Below are 18,537 nucleotides of genomic sequence, written 5' to 3'. Positions count from 1 at the left end.
CCGACGGGAGAGAGGGGCGGGCACTGGCTCCGGACCCGAAACTCCGCTCTCAGCAAAAAGCGGCTCCCGGGAACTGGAAGCCTGGCGAGGTGGGGGTGGGGGCGGGGGAGGGGGGCGAGGGGCGGCGAGGGGCGAGCAGGGGGGCGGAGGGCGAGCAGGGGGGCGGGGGCACGGCCCGTTTCGGGTGCCGGGCCGATGGCAGCCGGGGCTGGGGAGGGACAGGCTCAGCAAGCGGGCGGCCGGGAGTTCCGGGGGGCCCGCCCGAGAGGCGCCGGACTCCACGGAGACCGGGACCGGGGCGAGGGCGCACTCGGACCCGCCGCGACGACGCGCCTACCTCTTGTCAGAAAGGCCGGGCCTGGGACACGGGGTGGCGAGGGGCGCTCATACCGGCGGCTCCGCGGGGCAGTCTCGGTTCCACTGCTCCGCGACCGTAGCTCGACCGCCGGTTCCGGGGAGGGGGCCGGGGAGGCGGGAGGGGGAAGGGGCGCGGCGACGGCACTTGTGGTTGTTACGGGTGACGGGGTGGGCGGGGCCGGGCGCCGGGAGGGGCGCGCGTGCGCGGCCGCGGCCGAGGGAGCGGGGGCGGGAGCGGGCGATGGTTGCTAAGAAAGGGGAGGGGGGAGGACACCCGGGGCCCGAACTGCGCAGGCGCGAGCTCCGACCCGCGAGCGTGGGAGGAGCTCGGAGAAGGCGCCGGCCCCGTCGCACTGCTGGATGTGCCCGAGGTCCTCGTGGCCCCTCCCAGTTTTGCGTCACTTGTTGGGGGCGGGGCCGGGCTGGGCTTCGCGAGTAGCGGGCGGAGGCGGAGTGAAGCCCCAAGGGGCTGCCGGCGTGCAGGGGAGGGGTTCGGCTGAGCGGGAAAAGGGAAGTTTGCGGGAGGTCAAAACCACCGGGGCCCTCCCGTATGGCTGCTGCTCTGAGGCCTGCCTCTGGTCGCCCTGGCGGCTGCCCCCGTGCTTCCTCATTTCTTGTTGACTGTTCAGGAGCACCAGGCTGCTCGCGCCAGTGCCCCGACCGCATTCTCGCCGAGTAATGGGGAGGAGGCGGACGCCGGTGCTGCGCGGCCCAGGGCTCGGGAGGGCCCGGGTGAGCCCGGGTGGAGCCCAGCGGCATCCTTGTCAACACATCCAGACGGCTCTAGTGTCGGGCCGCGGGCTTGAAACTGAGACGCGCGCCCAGGGCCTGCCCCTCGGAAACGAGGGTGCCAAGGTGGGGCTGCTAAGTAGCTCCCGAATTTCAGCAGGAGAGCACCGTCCAGCCCCAATTTTCAATCCGGTACCACTGAGACATTTTGGGGTCCTTAAGAGGAGCTCATGACTAGAAAGGGGCACCTCGCATGCCCACCCACACAGCAAAGCTGGTTTTATAACCAACATGCAATTTCACTGTCAAAGTCACTGTTGTTCCGTTCACATTAGTCACCCTGAGTGGCTGTACATTTCATGCTGCCATTGGACAGAACGTTTTTGGACCTGTTTAGGAATTTCCATCAAAGCCAGTTTACCAGACACACAAGCAAATCATTCATGGCCTCATCACCCCTTGTGTTCCACGTCAAACCATCATCTTCCAGCTGGGTCACCTACATTATTCACTACATTCAGTCTGACTGGCTTTTGCTTGTTTGTAGAAATCACATCCACCGGCCGGGCGCGGTGGCTCACGCCTGTAATCTCAGCACTTTGGGAGGCCGAGGTGGGCGGATCACGAGGTCAGGAGATCGAGACCATCCTGGCTAACACGGTGAAATCCCTGTCTCTACTAAAAATACAACAGATTAGCCGGGCGTGGTGGCGGGCGCCTGTAGTCCCAGCTACTTGGGAGTCTGAGGCAGGAGAATGGCGTGAACCCTGGAGGCAGAGCTTGCAGTGAGCCGAGATCGCGCCACTGCACCCCAGCCTGGTCGACAGAGCGAGACTCCGTCCCAAAAAAAAAAAAAAAAATCACATCCACCTTCAAAAGACGCTTTAACGCCGTTGCGGTGGCTCACGCCTGTAATCCCAACAGTCTGGGAGACCTAGGTGGGTGGATCACCTGAGGTCAGGAGTTTGAGACCATCCTGGTCAACACGGTGAGACCTCGTCTCCACTAAAAATACAAAAAGTAGCCGGGTGTGGTGCCAGATGCCTGTAATCCCAGCTACTTGGGAGGCTGAGGCAGGAGAATCACTTGAACCTGGGCAGAGGTTGCAGTGAGGCAAGATCACGCCACCTGCCCTGCACTCCAGCCTGGGCTGGACTCCAGCAAGACTCCGTGTCAAAAAAAAAAAAAAAAAAAAAAATTCACCTGACCTGCTGAACTTCTAGATGCAACCACCAGTTTACAGGAAATACAGAATAGAGGAACATGCTAAATGACACCATGAAAAACAATTGGCAAAGTACAGACTGTGGGAAACGGTACAAGACAAATATATTCTTTATCAAATTCCAAAGGAAAAAAAGAGGGGAATGGTCAATCTATAGATTAAAAGAGATTGGGAAATTTGTTGAGCCATACATTCATTTATGATTTGCAAGCTTTTATATGTATATTATACTTCAGTTAAACATTTTGAAGAAAAAACAGACTTGAGACATCAACCAATCACAAAAAACTTTATTTCCATTTTTTTTTTCTTGAAACAGTCTCACTCTGTTCCCCAGGCTTGAGGGCAGTGGCATAATCATAGCCGTCTGCAGCATCATCACCTGGCCTCAAGTGAACCTCCCACCTCAGCCTTCTGAGTAGCTGTGACTACAGGCATGTGCCACCACGCCTGGCTACTTTTTGCTATTTTTTTCCTTAGGTTTTTTTTGTTTTTTTGTTTGTTTGTTTGTTTTGAGATGGAGTCTTACTCTGTTGCCCAGGCTGGAGTGCAGTGGCACGATCTTGGCTCACTGCAACCTCCACCTCCTGGGTTCAAGTGATTCTCCTGCCCTCCTGCCTCAGCCTCCCGAGTAGCTGGGATTACAGGCGAGTGCCCAGCTAATTTTTTTATTTTTAGTAGAGACGGGCTTTCACCATGTTGGTCAGGCCGGTCTCAAACTCCTGACCTTGTGATCTGCCTGCCTCAGCCTCCCAGAGTGGTGGTATTACAGGAGTGAACCACAGCACCCTGCCCACCAACCTCCTACTTGCCTGGGGACTAGATTGCCTTTGTAGGACTAACATTAGCCACAAATTAGAAATTATGGTTTAGGAGTCATGCAGCTGGAGGCTACAAGATTCTGACCCTCCCTAAACTGCTCCTAAGATCAGTGCTTGAGACATTTTGCAGATCCTCCCCTTGATGGCTCAGCTGGCACCACCCAGATCAACAAACAGGCTCATCTGATCTTGTGGCCCCCGCCCAGGAACTGACTCAGCACAAGAAGACAGCTCCGACTCCCTATGATTTCCTCCCTGACCAATCAGCACTCCTGGCTCACTGGCCTCCCCCGACCCACCAAGTTGTCTTTAAAAACTCTGCTCCCTGAATGTTCAGGGAGACTGATTTGAGTAATAATAAAACTCCAATCTCCTGCACAGCCAGCTCTGTGTGAATGACTCTATTGCAATCCTCCTGTCCTGATGAATCAGCTCTCTCTAGGCAGCAGGGAAGGTGAACCCCTTGGGTGGTTATACTGTTATCCAGAGAAGGGGGTTATATGTAAAGATAAGCAATCTTTTGTTACAATAAATGCTTTTTCAGGAATTTGTTGAGGCAAACAGTGAAAGCACGTATTGGTTTACAGTCTAATATTCCTGAACAAGAATCTCCTGGATCAAATAGTAAGTCATGTTGACACAGAGATCTTAGGTCTCAGTCCTGATGGCTAAGCTGTGTGGATGCAGGTGGTCTTATTCCTCATGATCAGGAATGTAGGCCCTGAGATAGTCTGAACTCAAATCTCATGTTGAATTGTAATCCACAGTGTTGGAGGTCTGGCCTGGTGGGAGGCGTTTGGGTCATCAGATCCCTCATGAATGGCTTGGGCCATCCCCTTGGCCATAAGTGAGCTCTCTCTAAGTTCACATGAGATCTTCTCACTTAAAAATGGGTGGCACCTCCCCCTACTCTCTGGAGCTTCTGCCTGCTTTCACCATGTGACCTGCCTGTTCCCCCTTCTCTCCTTCCACCAAGACTAAAAGCTCCCTGAGGCTTCACCAGAAGCTAAGCAGATGCCAGCGCCATGCTTCCTGAACAGCCTGTGGAACCTCTTAAGCACTATTTGAACATATAATGATACTAAGAAATTACTGCTTTCTTGTGGCTGAGCGTGGTGGCTCACGCTTGTAATCCCAGCACTTTGGGAGGCCAAGGCAGGTGGATCCCCTGAGGTTGGGAGTTTAAGACCAACCTGACCAATATGGAGAAACCCCGTCTCTACTAAAAATACAAAATTAACCAGGCATGGTGGCACATGCCTATAATCCCAGCTACTCTGGAGGCTGAGGCAGGAGAATTGCTTGAACCTGGGAGGCAGAGGTTGCGGTGAGCCGAGACCGCACCATTGCACTCCAGCCTGGGCAACAAGAGCGAAACTCTGTCTCAAAAAAAAAAAAAAAGAAAGAAAAAGAAATTATTGCTTTCTCTTAAGAATGCCAATTAAACTTTTTTTCTTTATAAATTACCCAGTCTCAAGTATTTCTTTATAGCAATTCGAGAATGGCCTAACACGGGCCCCTTCTGTGTTGCTACTTTGCCATTACCACAGTGTGTCTTCCCCCTCCAGCCAGCAAGTCGGAGGAAAGGGTGAAGAAGAGCAAACCTGCTCCCCGAACGACGCTTCCTTGGAAATGATATGCATGTACAAACACGTGCACACACATGCGTGCACACCCATAAGCAAACATACATACTTCCCATTGGCCAGAACTTAATCACATGGGCACACCCAAGAGCAAAGAAGGCTGGGAAATGTAGCCTGTGCCAAGTGACCACACACCCAGCTACAAACGGTGAGTTCTGTTGCTAAGAAAGAAGCAAAGGATGTATAATATTGGTGGCGACTAACAATCTCTCTCATCAAGGATACAATCAAACTATTAAAATGTAGTGGTAATGTGTGTTTGAAAAATTTCAAAAGAAAGAAGGAGGAAGGAAAGAGAAAGAAAGAAAAAAGAAAGAGAAAGGAAGGAAGGGAGGGAAGGGGAGAGGGAGGGCAGGGCAGGGTGAGGATGAGAGAAAGAAAGGAAGAGAGAGAGAAAAAGAGAGAAAGAAAGAAAGGAAAGAGGAAGGAAGGAAAGAGAAAAGAAAGAAAAGAAAAAGAAAGAAAGCAAAAGAGAAAGAAAGAAAGAGAAGGGGCCAGGCGCAGTGGCTCACGCCTGTAATCTCAACACTTTGGGAGGCCGAGGCGGGCAGGTCACAAGGTCAGGAGATCGAAACCATCCTGGCTAACACATGAAACCCGTCTCTACTAAAAATACAAAAAAAAAAATTAGCCGGGCGTGGTGGCTGGTGCCTATAGTCCCAGCTACTCAGGAGGCTGAGGCAGGAGAATGGCATGAACCCGGGAGATGGAGCTTGCAGTGAGCCAAGATAGTGCCACTGCACTCCAGCCTGGGTGACAGAGCGAAACTCTGTTTCAAAAAAATAGAAAAGAAAGAGAAGGAAGGAAGGAAAGAAGGAAAGAGAGAGAGAGAGGCGCCAGATACATAGCTTATGCCTGCAATCTTTGGGAAGCCAAGTTGGAAGGATTGCTTGAGCCCAGGAGTTCCAGACCAGCCTGGACAACATAGCAAGACCCCTATCTCTACAAACAATTTTTAAAAAATTAGCCAGGCATGGTGGTACATGCCTGTAGTCCTTGTTACTCGGGAGGCTGAGGCAGGAGGATCACTTGAACCCAGGAGGTTGAGGGTGCAGTGAGCCCTGATTGTGCCACTGCACTCCAGCCTGAGAGATAGCCTGAGAGACAGAGCAACACTGTCTCGAAAGAAAGGAAGGAAGGAAGACAAAGAAAGAGAGAAAGAAAGAGAGAAAGACAAAGAGAGAAAGAAAGAATTACAGAATAAACTAAGTCTATACACAGTGTGATAAGTGCTAGAAATGAGAAATAGGGACAGTGCTATGGAGCCAGTCTCTGGGGAGTTGAGGAAAGCCTCACAGAACAGAAACAGTTGACTAGGCAGGAACTTATCCAAGGCTGAATGAAGTTACTGGTGGGAGTATGGTATCACTCAGATGCAAAGAAAACCAAGAGCAGAATTCTAAAGAACTCCAACTATTAAGAGTCAGGATGTGAACAAGAACCAGGGAAGGATGCTGATAAGCAGAGAGGTGGAAGGAGAACCAGGAGAGAGAAGTGATGCCCTGCTCCCCAACAGTGTCAAGTGGTATGGGGTCAATAGAGCCAAAAGATGGGTAACAGAACGAGAAATAAGATAGCTCCTGGGCTTCGGTAATAAGAGGGCCACTGGTGTCCTTGCTAGACATGAATTCACCAGGCTTCAGGGACAGAAGACAGGCAGCAGTGGGTTGAGGAGAGAATGGAAACCAGGACAATGAGTGTAAATACTCAAGCCAATGTGACAGGACACAATCTTTTTACAAAAAACAAAAACAGAACATAAGAATTGTTTGCAGCTGGACACGGTGGCTACCGCCTGTCATCCCAGCACTTTACAAGGCTGAAGTGGGAGGATTATTTGAGCTCAGGAGTTCAAGACCAACCTGGGAAACACAGTGAGACCCTGTCTCAACAACAACAAAAAAAGTATTTTATTTTATTTATTTAATTTATTTTTGAGACAGAGTTTTGCTCGGTCACCCAGGCTAGCGTGCAGTGGCACAATCTCGGCTTACTGCAACATCCGCCTCCTGGGTTCAAGCGATTCTCCTGCCCAGCTTCTCAAGTAGCTGGGATTACAGGCATGCGCCACCACACCTGCCTAATTTTTGTATTTTTTGTTTGTTTGTTTTAAGTAGAGATGGGGTTTCACCATGTTGGCCAGGGTGGTCTAGAACTCCTGACCTCAAGTGATCACCCACCTCCACCTCCCAAAGGGCTGGGATTACAGGCATGAGCCACCGCACCCGGCCTCAACAAAAAATTTAAAATTTAGCTGGTCATGGTGGCTCGCATCTATAGTTCCAGCTACTTGGGAGGCTGAGCCAGTAGGATCACTTGAACCCAGGAGGTTGAGGCTGCAGTGAGCCATGATTGCAGCACTGCACTACAGCCTCGGTGCCAGAGAGAGACCATGTCTCCAAAAAAAAAAAAAAAGTGTGTGTGTGTTGCATGTTGTGTTCAAGTGGCACTGTTCCTTTCTCTGTTCTCTGGGCTAATAGTCATCCACAGGCTGAACAGGGTGGAGTCAACACCGGGCAGGGTAAGTGACATCAGGTAACAAACAGTGAAGGCAGGTTGGTGGGACCGCAGCGCTGCAGCAGAGAAAGAGAAGGCTGCTGCCCTTGTCTTGCAGCACTCCTCCTGTTTTCCTCAGACAGGATCCCTTTAAAGTCGAATTACGAGAGTGGGCACTCTGAAACACCGTGACTGTGCCCCTCGCTTCCAGAGCTTTTTTTTTTTTTTTTTTGAGATGGAGTCTCACTCTGTTGCCCAGGCTGGAGTACAGTGGCATGATCTTAGTTCACTGCAACCTCCACCTCCTGGGTTCTAGTGATTCTCCTGCCTCAGCCTCCCGAGTAGCTGGGACTACAGGTGCTTGCCACCACGCCCAGCTAATTTTTGTATTTTTAGTAGAGACGGGGTTTCTCCATCTTGGCCAGGCTGGTCTCGAACTCCTGACCTCATGTGATCCACCCGCCTCGGCCTCCCAAAGTGCTGGGATTACAGGGGTGAGCCACCGTGCCCAGCACAGAGCATCTTTATTAGTGAGTTCTCCTCACCTGTCTGTTGTCGCCTCTCATTTGGTGAATGGAAGCCTTGATGGGTGCCGCGTAAAGGCTACACATACCAGGTGCCCTTGGGACCGAAGCACAGGATTCCCAAGAGTCCATAGCAAGACACTGTGAGTTGCTCAGACAAGCCCCCATTAGGAGCCTGAGTCTGAAGCTGCCGTTCCACTTGGCCGCCTCGAGCTGACCTCAGGACGCAGTGTCAGCAGCCTGGTCACACCTGCATAGGCACCGACAGGTGGGCAGAAGCATCGTGGCAGGACACATTCCCGCCCCCGGCAGGATTAACCTGAGGTAGGGGGGCCGTTGCTGGGTCCTCAGGCCATATCTTCTCCATTGCTCTTAGCAAAATATCAGGAGTCACTGAAATTTCGGCCTCCAGAGCTCAACCTCTTCTCTACCATAACAAAAGCAGCATGGGAACCTGTGGCATAAGAGGACCGCAGCCAGGTGCAGTGGCTCATGCCTGTAATCTCAACACTTTGGGAGGGTGAGGCAGGAGGATCACTTGAGCCCAGGAGTTCCAGAACAGCCTGGAGAACATAGTGAGACCTTGTCTCTACAAAAAGTAAAAATAAAAATTAGCTGGGGGTAGTGGCACTCACCTGTGGTCCCAGCTACTCGGGAGGCTGATCCTCAAGTGGGAGAATCACTTGGGCTCAGGAGTTTGAGGCTGCAGTGAGTCATGATTGCACCACTGCACTCCAGCCTGGGCGAGAGAGTGAGACTCTGTCTCAAAAAAAAAGAAAAAAGAAAAAAAAAAAAGGAGGATTGGGGTATAGTTTAGGGGAGTGTCACTCCAAGAAAGACAGTGGAAGGCAAGTGACAATCTTAAACTAAAATTTCAGCCTCCAGAGCCCAACCCCTTCACTACCATAGCAAAAGAAACAAGAGATAATGCTCAATAATGCCTTTAAACAATGCTGAGAGTCAGGGCCAGCTAATTATCTAGGCTGTGCCAAGAGACCCAGGGGCACTTACTTCGTATTTTCTGGTGGCCTTATACGCCCTGGCATTTGTGCTTCACTTCAGTCAGTTACAGAGACATGTCAGAGCCCATGCTGGGGGGTTGTGTTTAATGCACGCAGACTTGCCCAGGCGCAGTGGCTCACGCCTGTCATCCCAGCACTTTGGGAGGCAGAGGCGGGTGGATCACCTGAGGTCAGGAGTTTGAGACCAGCCTGGCCAAAACATGGTGAAACCCCGTCTCCACTAAAAATGTAAAAATTAGCTGGGTGTGGTGGTGCATGCCTGTAATCGCAGCTACTTGGGAGGCTGAGGCAGGACAATCGCTTGAACCCAGGAGTTGGAGGGTGCAGTGAGATCGTGCCACTGCACTCTAGCCTGGGTGACAGAGCCAGACTCCGGCTCAAAAAAAAAAAAAAAAAAATTCCATGCAGAATAAAGGCCTAATAAAGGAAGAGACCACTTTGGCATTTGGTGGTAAAAGAGTTAAAGACAGCCTTGCAAGGCATGACTGATACTCCTGACATGGGCCATCTGGCAAAGTTTCCAGCCTGGAAAAGTACAGAAAATGTAGGTTACCCTACAGGCACGATTTCCTAATTGAGCCCTGGCAATAATCCAGTGGCCTTGAGCTAACACAGTGCATCATTCCCGACCTGGGAAAACTTCGGGCCAAGAAGCTGGATCTGCAAAAGTTATCATCCAACCTTCAATATTTCCAAAATATTTCATTTCAATCTGGAGAGGCAAACTCCCTATGACTAGTTGGTTTATCTACCTAAGAGTCTTCCTTCCTTCAGGACACCCTTCCTACTACTAGCAGAATTCTCTCCCAAAAATACAGACTCACTCCCTTGTGCAAAAAGTACATTGACTACAGAATTAAATTTAAACTTCAAAGCCTACCATTCAAGATCATCTGTAAATCTCGTCCCCAACTTCATTTGTCCAGAATGATTTTATATTCATCTCCACTCTATTCATTTATTTACTCATTCCTTTGTGGATTCAACAAACATTTATTGAGCACCTTAATTTACTCTGAACACAGTGAGCACTGGGGTATAGAAAGACCCACTACAGCTGGGTGTGGTGGCTCACGCCTGTAATCCCAGCACTTTGGGAGGTCGAGGCGGGTGGATCATCTGAGATCAGGAGTTTGAGACCAGCCTGGCCAACATGGTAAAACTGCATCTCTACTAAAAATACAAAAATTAGTTGGGCATGGTGGTGGGTGCCTGTCATCCCAGCTACTTGGGAGGCTGAGGCTGGGGAATCGCTTGAACCTGGGAGGCAGAGGTTGCAGTGAGCCAAGACCGCGCCATTGCACTCCAGCCTGGGCAACAAAAGCGAAACTCCATCTCAAAAAAAGAGAGATCCACTACAAAAAAGCAGATTTTCCTACAAGGTGCCAGCCTGCTCTATAGGACAGACACCTAGCAGTTGAAACACAGCCTATTCGGTTCCACAACGGCCCAATGTAGCTCCTCCCTGAAGGCTTTTCTGATGCCTCTTTCCATTGGCCCATGCACTTCACAATTCCATCATAAGGCATGTTGGCTAAAACTAGACTGTCCGTAGAAGAATGGGATCTGTGTCTTCTGTTGAACTGTAAGTTGCTTGGGTACCATCGTCACTAATTTTCTCCTATTTTAATAGCACCTGGCATTTTCTAGAACCCTATTAAATATCTGTTGGGTTGAACTAAATGAACTTTTGATGAGGCCTTTATTCTGAGTGCATTTCACACATCTCAGGCTAGGCAGTCTGTAAACCCAGCACTTTGGGAAGTCGAGGCGGGCGGATCCCTTGAGCCCAGGAATTCAAGACCAGCTTGGACAACATGGCAAGACCCTGTCTTTACAAAAATACAAAAATTAGCTGGGCATGATGGCATGTGCCTGCATTCCCAGCTGCTTGGGAGGCTCACTTGACCCCGGGAGAGGGAGGTTGCAGTGAGCCGTGATCATGCTACTGTACTTCAGCCTGGGTGACAGAACGAGAACCTGTCTCAAAAATAAATAAATAGGCTGGGCTCAGTGGCTCACGCCTGTCATCCCAGCACTTTGGGAGGTCGAGGCAGGTGAATCACTTGAGGCCAGGAGTTCGAGAACAGCTTGGCCAACATGGTGAAGTGAAACCCCGTCACTACTAAAAAATACAAAAAAATTAGCTGAGTGTGGTAGCGCACTTGTAATCCCAGATACTCGGGAGGCTGAGGCATGAGAATCACTTGAACTCAGGAGGTGGAGGTTGCAGTGAGCCGAGACAGCGCCACTGCACTCCAGCCTGGGTGACAGAGCGAAACGCTGTCTCAAATAAATAAATAAATAAAAATTAATTAATTAAATAAATAAAAAACACATCCCCCCACCACATGGACTGAGCTGAAGCATCCTTGGGGCTGATGCTTTCACCACCCCTCCACCCCACACTGGCACCTTTAGACAGCACTGTACCTCGTGTCACCAGGCGAGGACATCAAGTCCAGGGAAGCGGCCTGGCTTAGGTGGTGAGTTTCTGTAGCAGAAAGCACAGCCTGCATCTGATGAGATTTAGGGTGACAAAGGAGCGCCACCAAGCCTTTCAGCTTCCCACTCAGAGAAATAAAAATAGCCTACCCAATCATATTTCTTTTTGGCTTGTTTGTTTCACAAAATATAGTCCTCACTTCACCGACTGATGCAGCTGCTTGGCACTCCCTTTCCTTTGCTGGATCAGGACTTAGGTTGGCAAGTCCAGCAATGAATCCCCTGGCTGTGCAGCTGCGGGTCATAAACAGCTGGAGGGAGGCTCGACTTGCTGCTTTTAATTAACCCCCAGGAAGGAATGTCGCGCTAACAGGGTATAGACCAGAGGCCACATCACAAGGCGCGACTGGGTGAAGAATAAACAGTCAAGCAGCCTCAATCCATTTAGTTAAAGCAATAGTCTCAAGGCTAACCATGGAAAAGAAAACCCTCCTCCACCTTCAGCTCTGCGGGCAGAACTGAAGACACACAGGGGTCATCAGAGGCCAGAGCTCTCCCACGTCCTCCTTGATGTGGGTGAAAGAGAAGATCATTCAGACCCCCAAATCTCCTGTTTCACCAGGAGATTCGAACTCAGAGGGTTTCAGTTCAATACCTTATTTGGGATGCATCCCATAACCAGGCACCCTACAGCCCTGCCCGGGAAGGTTCTATATACACAGTGTGACCTCCAGCTGAGAATCACACATGTGCTCACTTCACACTGCAGTGAAAATTCCATCTCTCACCCTTCCCCACGTTGGCAGGACCTGTGGGTCTGATTGAGCCACCTCAGTAGCCTAAAGCAGCTTTTAGGGTTTTCCTCCTCCAAAGGAAAAAAAAACAAAAATACTAATTGGATGCTGATGGAATTTGGTGTCAGAAAATCTCACTGGGTTGTTAAGCTTGGATAAGAAAATGTTGATGAAAACATTTTGTAAATGGTTAGACTCTATGTAAATGCTTCCCACCGCCAGGCATCCTACAGCTTTGCCTCCGGAATGTTCTGTACACATAGATTATTATTATCGTCCCGCCTACCGCTCTAGTTGGTTGCCAGCAACATCGTCTATATTTAGATAAATCCTTCCCCATCTTAAATTTCCCCCAACAGAAAAACAATATGAAAATTGTTCAAAAGACCAACATGAAAATATGATTAAAAGACCAATGCTCATTTGTACGGCTCTTGGCACAGACAGGCTGAAAAAAATACAAAGGAATTTCTTGGCAAACCATTGTCTATAATTATGAGCTACATAAGCTAAATGGACTCCAAGGGGCTAGGGGTGCATGGGGAGATGGTCATCTGGCTTAGTTGGGCACAACAGTCTCTATCACCCCTTCACGTTCAGAAAGCTCACTCTACTTTAAAATGCCCAAGCGTGGCCAGGCGCGGTGAATCACATCTGTAATCCCAGCACTTTGGGAGGCCGAGGCAGGTGGATCACCTGAGGTCATGAGTTCAAGACCAGCCTGGCCAATGAAACCCCATCTCTACTAAAAATACAAAAATTAGCCAGGCCTGGTGGCATGTGCCTGTAATCCCAGCTACTCAGGAGGCTGAGGCAGGAGAATCACTTGAACCCGAGAAGCAGAGGTTGCAGTGAGCCAAGACAGTGCCACTGCACTCCAGACTGGGCGACAGAACGAGACTATGTCTCAGAAAAAAAAAAAAAACATAATAAAATAAAATAAAATAAAATAAAATAAAATAAAATAAAATAAAATAAAATAAAATAAAATAAAATGCTCAAGTGTGAATGCATAACTTGTCCTAAAAGGCACTGCATCTGCCAGCTCTGCACCCCCGCCCACCCCTGTGGCCTCTGGTCAGGCGCCGTGCTGGTGCTAAGAGGTGACCCCCAGCTGCCTACTAGACATTAGCGGGGAGAACTGGTGTGCCCCAGGAAGGAACAACCACGCTGACGCAAAACCAAGAGCCTGTGTGACCTTCCTCCATACCCCCGGGTATACAAGGTACGGCTCTGAACTTTTCACCACACAAGGCTCAGGAAGCACCCATGGTTGACGCACTGTTCCAAGAAATTACCACGAACTGGTGGCTGAGGGCAACAGAAACTCATTCTCTCACTGTTCTGGAGGCCGTAAGCTCTGGAGGTGAAATCAAAGTGTCGGCAGAGCTGTGCTCCCTCCTGCAGCTCTGGGAAGGTCTGTTCTGGCTTCTTCCGGCTGCTGGTTGCCCTGGGTGTTCCTTGGCTTGCGGCCACCTCTCGCTAGTCTCCACTTCCACCTTCTCCCTTGTGTGTCTCAAATCTCTCTCCTTTCTCTTATAAAGCCACCAAAATGAGATCATCGTAGACCCTAAATCCACGATGATCTCATCTCAAGTTCCTTAACTTACTGACATCTGCAAAGACACTGTTTTACAAATGAAATCGCCTTCACAGGTACCAGGGGTTAGGACTTGGACACATCTTTTGGGGACCCACATTCAACCCTCTACAGCTGGTTAGAAAAAAAACCCCTTGGCCAGGCGTGGTGGCTTACGCCTGTAATCCCAGCACTTTGGGAGGCTGAGGCAGGTGGATTACCTGTGGTCGGAAGTTCGAGACCAGCCTGGCCAACATGGTGAAACCCCATTTCTACTAAAAATACAAAAATTAGCCAGGCGTGGTGGTGGGTGCTTATAATCCTGGCTACTTGGGAAGCTGAGGCAGGAGAATTGCTTGAACCCAAGGGGCCGAGGTTGCAGTGAGCTGAGATCGCGCCACTGCACTCCAGCCTGGGTGACAGGGCGAGACTCCATCTCAAAAAAAGAAAAGAAAAGAAAACAGACCCCTTGAAACCATAAAAAGGAATGAGTTCATGTCCTTTGCAGGGACATGGATGAAGCTGGAAGCCATCATCCTCAGAAAACTAACCCAGGAACAGAAAACCATACACCGCATGTTCTCACTCATAAGTGGGAGTTGAACAATGAGAACACATGGACACAGAGAGGGGACCATCACACACTGGGGTCTGTTGGTTGGGGGTGAGGGGTGAGGGGAGGGAACTTAAGAGGACGTGTCAGTAGGTGCAGCAAACCACTATGGCACGTGTACCCCTATATAACAAACCTGCACATTCTGCACATGTATCCCTTTTTTTTAAAAGAAGAAATAAAGAGAAAAAGAAAAAAAATAAATAAAAATTAAAAAAAAGAGAGAGAGAAAAAAAAGAAATCCCTGTTGGAGGGAAGGGAGGCGCCCCTGCTCACTCTCCCGGCAGTGGTATCAGCCTCGTCAAGCCCAGAGCAGTGAAAAAGGTGCCTGCACCCCACAGAGTCAGCCTCCTGGACCCCGAGGGTGCCCACTCCTGCCTGACCCACCCATCACCATTGCCCACAAAGCAAATAATGCCAAGGGAAGGGCAAGGCTGGCTTGCTCATCACGTTGTAGACTCTGGGCTTTGAGAAAGCCAGAGAACAAAGGATGTTGCTGTCCTTGGCAGGGCTGGCCTTGTTCCAAGGTTCCCGTGCACCTGGAGAAGAGCTTGACCTGGCTCACATGGCACACTCGGGCACACAGAGGGCTTCTCTGGGAACCAGCCTCTTAGCAATTCCAGGAGCATGCAAGGAACCGCTATGATTCTGGCAACCTGAGTTTATTATTCCATATCAGGGAGACCGAGGCACAAAGAGTTCTGCGTGTTTAACCCCTACCGATCATTCAGAACTTAGGAGCCAGTTCATGGTTCCTGCCTCCCCATGTGATGCCTAAATTCAGCACCCTATTGAATTCAGTTACAGTTTCCTTGAAGAACGAACACAGTTCCCTCTATTTTCTACCAGTTGTATCAGGCCCAGGCCCTGTGCTAGGCACTTCACAAGCATCACGATGATCTTCATCACAGCCCATTTCGCAGATGGGGACACCAAGATACAGAGAGGATAAGTGACTTTCAGAGCAGAGAATCCAAACCCAACAGTCTGACTCCAGTGTTCACAGAGCTCTTCCTATCGCACTCCCATTCCTTCTTTTTTTTGAGACGGAGTCTCGCTCTGTCACCCAGGATGGAGTGCAGTGGTGCGATCTCAGCTCACTGCAACCTTTACCTCCTGGGTTCCAGCGATTCTCCTGCCTCAGCCTTCCAAGTAGCTGGGATTACAGGCATGCGCCACCATACACAGCTAATTTTTATATTTTTGTAGAGATGGGGTTTTGCCATGTTGGCCAGGATGGTCTCAAACTCCTGACCTCTGGTGATTTGCCTGCCTGGGCCTCCCAAAGTGTTGGGATTACAGGTGTGAGCCACCCCGCCCGGCCCCATTCCTTCTGTTGAACTCACAGTTCTTTGGCTTTTTGTTCTTCCTTCCAGGTCACCAGTTTCAAGATTTGTACATCCTGGTGTCACGGTGAAAAGCCTATTGGTGGCAAGCACATAAGGCACGTGGGATGGCCAGGGGCCTCCAGCACAGGAAGGCCCCGAGTGAAAGCCTAGCAGAGGTAGGTGCCTGTGTGTCCTGGGACATCCTACTGAGCAGGCAAACCACGGACACATTCAGCTCCAAAATATTTCCATATGGTCCCGGTATAGCAGTTGAATTGGTTTGACTCATGCATTCTTTAAATAGCAAGTACAAATAACCTGGATGATTCTTAATGTTCCATTTATTCCTCTATCCGTTTATTGTTCTGTGATTTATAGCATAGCTCCTGAGTGTCATGTGCATGACATAATAGGGGAAAGGAAAAAAAAAAAAACCTGCAACTTCAGAATCTAAGGACTAAGCTAAAATTTTAGAATGCTGAGTGAATCAAAAGGTGTGCATCATTGGTGAAAATAATAAGAAGAGTTTTTTTTTCTTTTTCTTTTCTTTCTTTAAATCCACTTATTCTGTCCGGGCAAGGTGGCTCATGCCTGTAATCCCAGCACTTTGGGAGGCCGAGGCGGGCAGATCATTTGAGGTCAGGAGTTCGAGACCGGCCTGGCCAACATGGCAAAACCCAGTCTCTACTAAAAATAGAAAAATTAGCCGGGCGGGCGCCTGTAGTCCCAGCTGCTTGGGAGGCTGAGGCAGGAGAATCGCTTGAACCCGGGAGGCAGAGGTTGCAGTGAGCCAAGATTGTGCCACTGCACTCCAGCCTGAGCAACAAAGCGAGACTCTACCTCAAAAAATATATAATAATAATAAAAATAATAATAATAATAATAATAATAGTAAATCCACTTATTCTTATGTTCTAGCAGCCAAGGCTGCTAGGGCAATTTGGATCTCAATATAAGATAAAGCTTATTCTCTGATGGAAGACATCAGATCCCCCACCTTAATTTCTGTGTCACTTGCTTTAAACAGTTAAGCGACTGTACGACATGCTGAAAGGGATCAGTGATTTCTCCTGCAGCCAGTTCCAACCTGCTGAAAGGAACACTGAGAAAATATATGGACTCAGTAAACCTGAGCTGCCTCCAATGGCCTCACTCACTCCAACCCTCAACTTTGCAATGCTGGAATGTGAGTCACCTTTAAGATCATTTCATTTATCTTGGCCAAGCCTTTAAATATTTAGGTCTACATCAAATAATGTCTGATAAAAGCTTAGCGCTTTTCACAGCAAAGAACAAAACGTAATTTTGAACCACCACAGCTGAAAAAAGGGATGTTATTAGCCAAGACAGGGGCCCCAGTTCAGCAGCCTACCTCCCGTGACCCAGTGATACACAGCTAAGGAAGTGTGGGGCTTGTGGGACCTGTTTGGTTCCTGACGTTCCCAGAGAACAATATCCTGAAGCAGAAACAAGACGTGGTTTCCGGTTTTTGTTTTTGTTTTGAGACGGAATCTTGCTTTGTCACCCTGGCTGGAATGCAGTGGCATGATCACAGCTCACTGCAGACGCGACCTCCTGGGCGCAAATGATCCTCCCCCCTCAGCCCCCCAAGTAGCTGAGACTATAGGCGCACGCCACCACGCCTGGCTACTTTTCATATTTTTTGTAGAGACAGTGTCTTGCCATGTTGCCAAGGCTGGTCTCGAACTCCTGGGCTCAAGTGATCCACCTGCCTTGGCCTCCCAAAGTGTTAGGATAATAGGTGTGAGCCACCACCCCTGGCCAAGACATGGTTTTTATTTGTGTGCAGGCTGAGATTATCGTCCACAAGGAGCAGAAGCTTTCATAGAGGAACCCATCGACGTGGCTCCTGCCAAAGTCCTCAACAGGGCTTCGAAACACAGCAAGCATAATTTTTTAAATGTTTTTATATCAATGAAAATTTTAAAATTATAAAATAATCTGCCATAGAGGACACACAGACCGTCTACATGGCATCCGTTTCGCTACATCTTCCTTCCCAAGGCCCCAACTTTGTCCAGGTGTCCACCCCACTCCACAAGCCGGGGAAGCTGGCCCCTGCCTGGCCAGCAGGTGGACCTGATTCTAACACATCCCCCCTGCCAGGGACTGACTTAAGAGTGGGCCTGGGTGGCTGGGTGTGGTGGCTCTCGCCTGTAATCCCAACACTTTGGGAGGCCAAGGTGGGCAGATCGCTTGAGCCCAGGAGTTCGAGACCTGGGCAACATGGTGAGACCTCTGTCTCTACAAAAAAAAAACAAAGAAAATAGCCAGATTTGGTGATGTGTGCCTGTGGTCCCAGCTACGTAGGAGGCTGAGGTGGGAGAATCGCTTGAACCCAGAAGGCGGAGGTTGCAGCGAGCCAAGATCTCGCCACCGCACTCCAGCCTGGGCAACACAGTGATGCTCTGTCTCAAAAAAAAAAAAAAAGAGTGGGCCTGGGACCCACTTCAGGGGGTTCTGGAAGGGTTCCCACAGTCTTAAAAAGGAGACACCAGCTGGGCACAGTGGCTCATGCCTGTAATCCCAGCACTTTGGGAGGCCGAGGCAGGTGGATCATGAGGTCAAGAGATCAAGACCATCCTGGCCAACATGGTGAATCCCCATCTCTACTAAAAATACAAAAAATTAGCTGGGCATGGTGGCGAGCACCTGTAGTCCCAGCTACTCGGGAGGCTGAGGCAGAAGGATCGCTTGAAGCAGGGAGGCGGAGGTTTCAGTGAGCCGAGATCGTGCCACTGCACTCCAGCATGGCAATAGAGTGAGACTCCATCTCAAAAAAAAAAAACAAAAACAAAAAAACAAAACAACAAAAAAGGAGACACCAGAAAAGAAAGCCCCTGTTTCTGTGTCTGGATGCTGTGTGATTCTCTGTCTGGATGCTGTGTGATTCTCTGTCTGGATGCTGTGTGATTCTCTGTCTGGATGCTGTGTGAT

General features: G+C 49.7%; 1 protein-coding gene and 1 long non-coding RNA gene across 7 annotated transcripts in view, besides 6 other annotated features; one reads left to right on the top strand and one right to left on the bottom strand.

Moving 5' to 3' along the window:
* Nucleotides 1-18,537, bottom strand: part of SEC14L1 (SEC14 like lipid binding 1) — a 128,417-nt gene that overhangs the window by 75,657 nt on the left and 34,223 nt on the right. For 3 of the 6 annotated variants that reach the window (NM_001143998.2, NM_001039573.3, NM_001143999.2), the window contains exon 1: nucleotides 338-476. The exons of 2 other annotated variants lie outside the window; for them this stretch is intronic. The gene's annotated coding sequence lies outside the window, so the exon portion shown is untranslated. Of the gene's footprint in view, nucleotides 1-337; nucleotides 477-18,537 lie in introns of those variants that run through there. One more of the 6 variants, NM_003003.4, reaches the window with a different exon arrangement.
* On the top strand, nucleotides 6-17,698 carry LOC105371901 (uncharacterized). Its single transcript, XR_934988.3, has 5 exons — nucleotides 6-89; nucleotides 4,701-4,926; nucleotides 15,628-15,755; nucleotides 16,607-16,765; nucleotides 17,390-17,698. It is a non-coding gene; the product is annotated as an uncharacterized LOC105371901 (long non-coding RNA).
* Nucleotides 163-612: a silencer, noted in NCBI's record as "silent region_9033". NCBI's record gives its function as "represses an Ori minimal core promoter by ATAC-STARR-seq in GM12878 lymphoblastoid cells {active_cell/tissue: GM12878}" and the evidence as "EXISTENCE:reporter gene assay evidence [ECO:0000049][PMID:35858748]".
* Nucleotides 623-832: a silencer, noted in NCBI's record as "silent region_9032". NCBI's record gives its function as "represses an Ori minimal core promoter by ATAC-STARR-seq in GM12878 lymphoblastoid cells {active_cell/tissue: GM12878}" and the evidence as "EXISTENCE:reporter gene assay evidence [ECO:0000049][PMID:35858748]".
* Nucleotides 983-1,192: a silencer, noted in NCBI's record as "silent region_9031". NCBI's record gives its function as "represses an Ori minimal core promoter by ATAC-STARR-seq in GM12878 lymphoblastoid cells {active_cell/tissue: GM12878}" and the evidence as "EXISTENCE:reporter gene assay evidence [ECO:0000049][PMID:35858748]".
* Nucleotides 8,013-8,514: an enhancer, noted in NCBI's record as "H3K4me1 hESC enhancer chr17:75129013-75129514 (GRCh37/hg19 assembly coordinates)". NCBI's record gives its function as "activates a minimal SCP1, AML or CMV promoter by ChIP-STARR-seq in primed H9 embryonic stem cells {active_cell/tissue: H9 hESC(primed)}" and the evidence as "EXISTENCE:reporter gene assay evidence [ECO:0000049][PMID:30033119]".
* Nucleotides 13,656-13,705: an enhancer, noted in NCBI's record as "active region_12824". NCBI's record gives its function as "activates an Ori minimal core promoter by ATAC-STARR-seq in GM12878 lymphoblastoid cells {active_cell/tissue: GM12878}" and the evidence as "EXISTENCE:reporter gene assay evidence [ECO:0000049][PMID:35858748]".
* Nucleotides 16,693-17,466: an enhancer, noted in NCBI's record as "H3K4me1 hESC enhancer chr17:75120061-75120834 (GRCh37/hg19 assembly coordinates)". NCBI's record gives its function as "activates a minimal SCP1, AML or CMV promoter by ChIP-STARR-seq in primed H9 embryonic stem cells {active_cell/tissue: H9 hESC(primed)}" and the evidence as "EXISTENCE:reporter gene assay evidence [ECO:0000049][PMID:30033119]".

The sequence above is a fragment of the Homo sapiens genome, chromosome 17 (genome assembly GCF_000001405.40).
Source record: "Homo sapiens chromosome 17, GRCh38.p14 Primary Assembly".
Taxonomy (NCBI): domain Eukaryota; kingdom Metazoa; phylum Chordata; class Mammalia; order Primates; family Hominidae; genus Homo; species Homo sapiens.
Note: the sequence above shows the minus strand (reverse complement) of the source record. Positions and strands in the feature narration are given on the sequence as shown.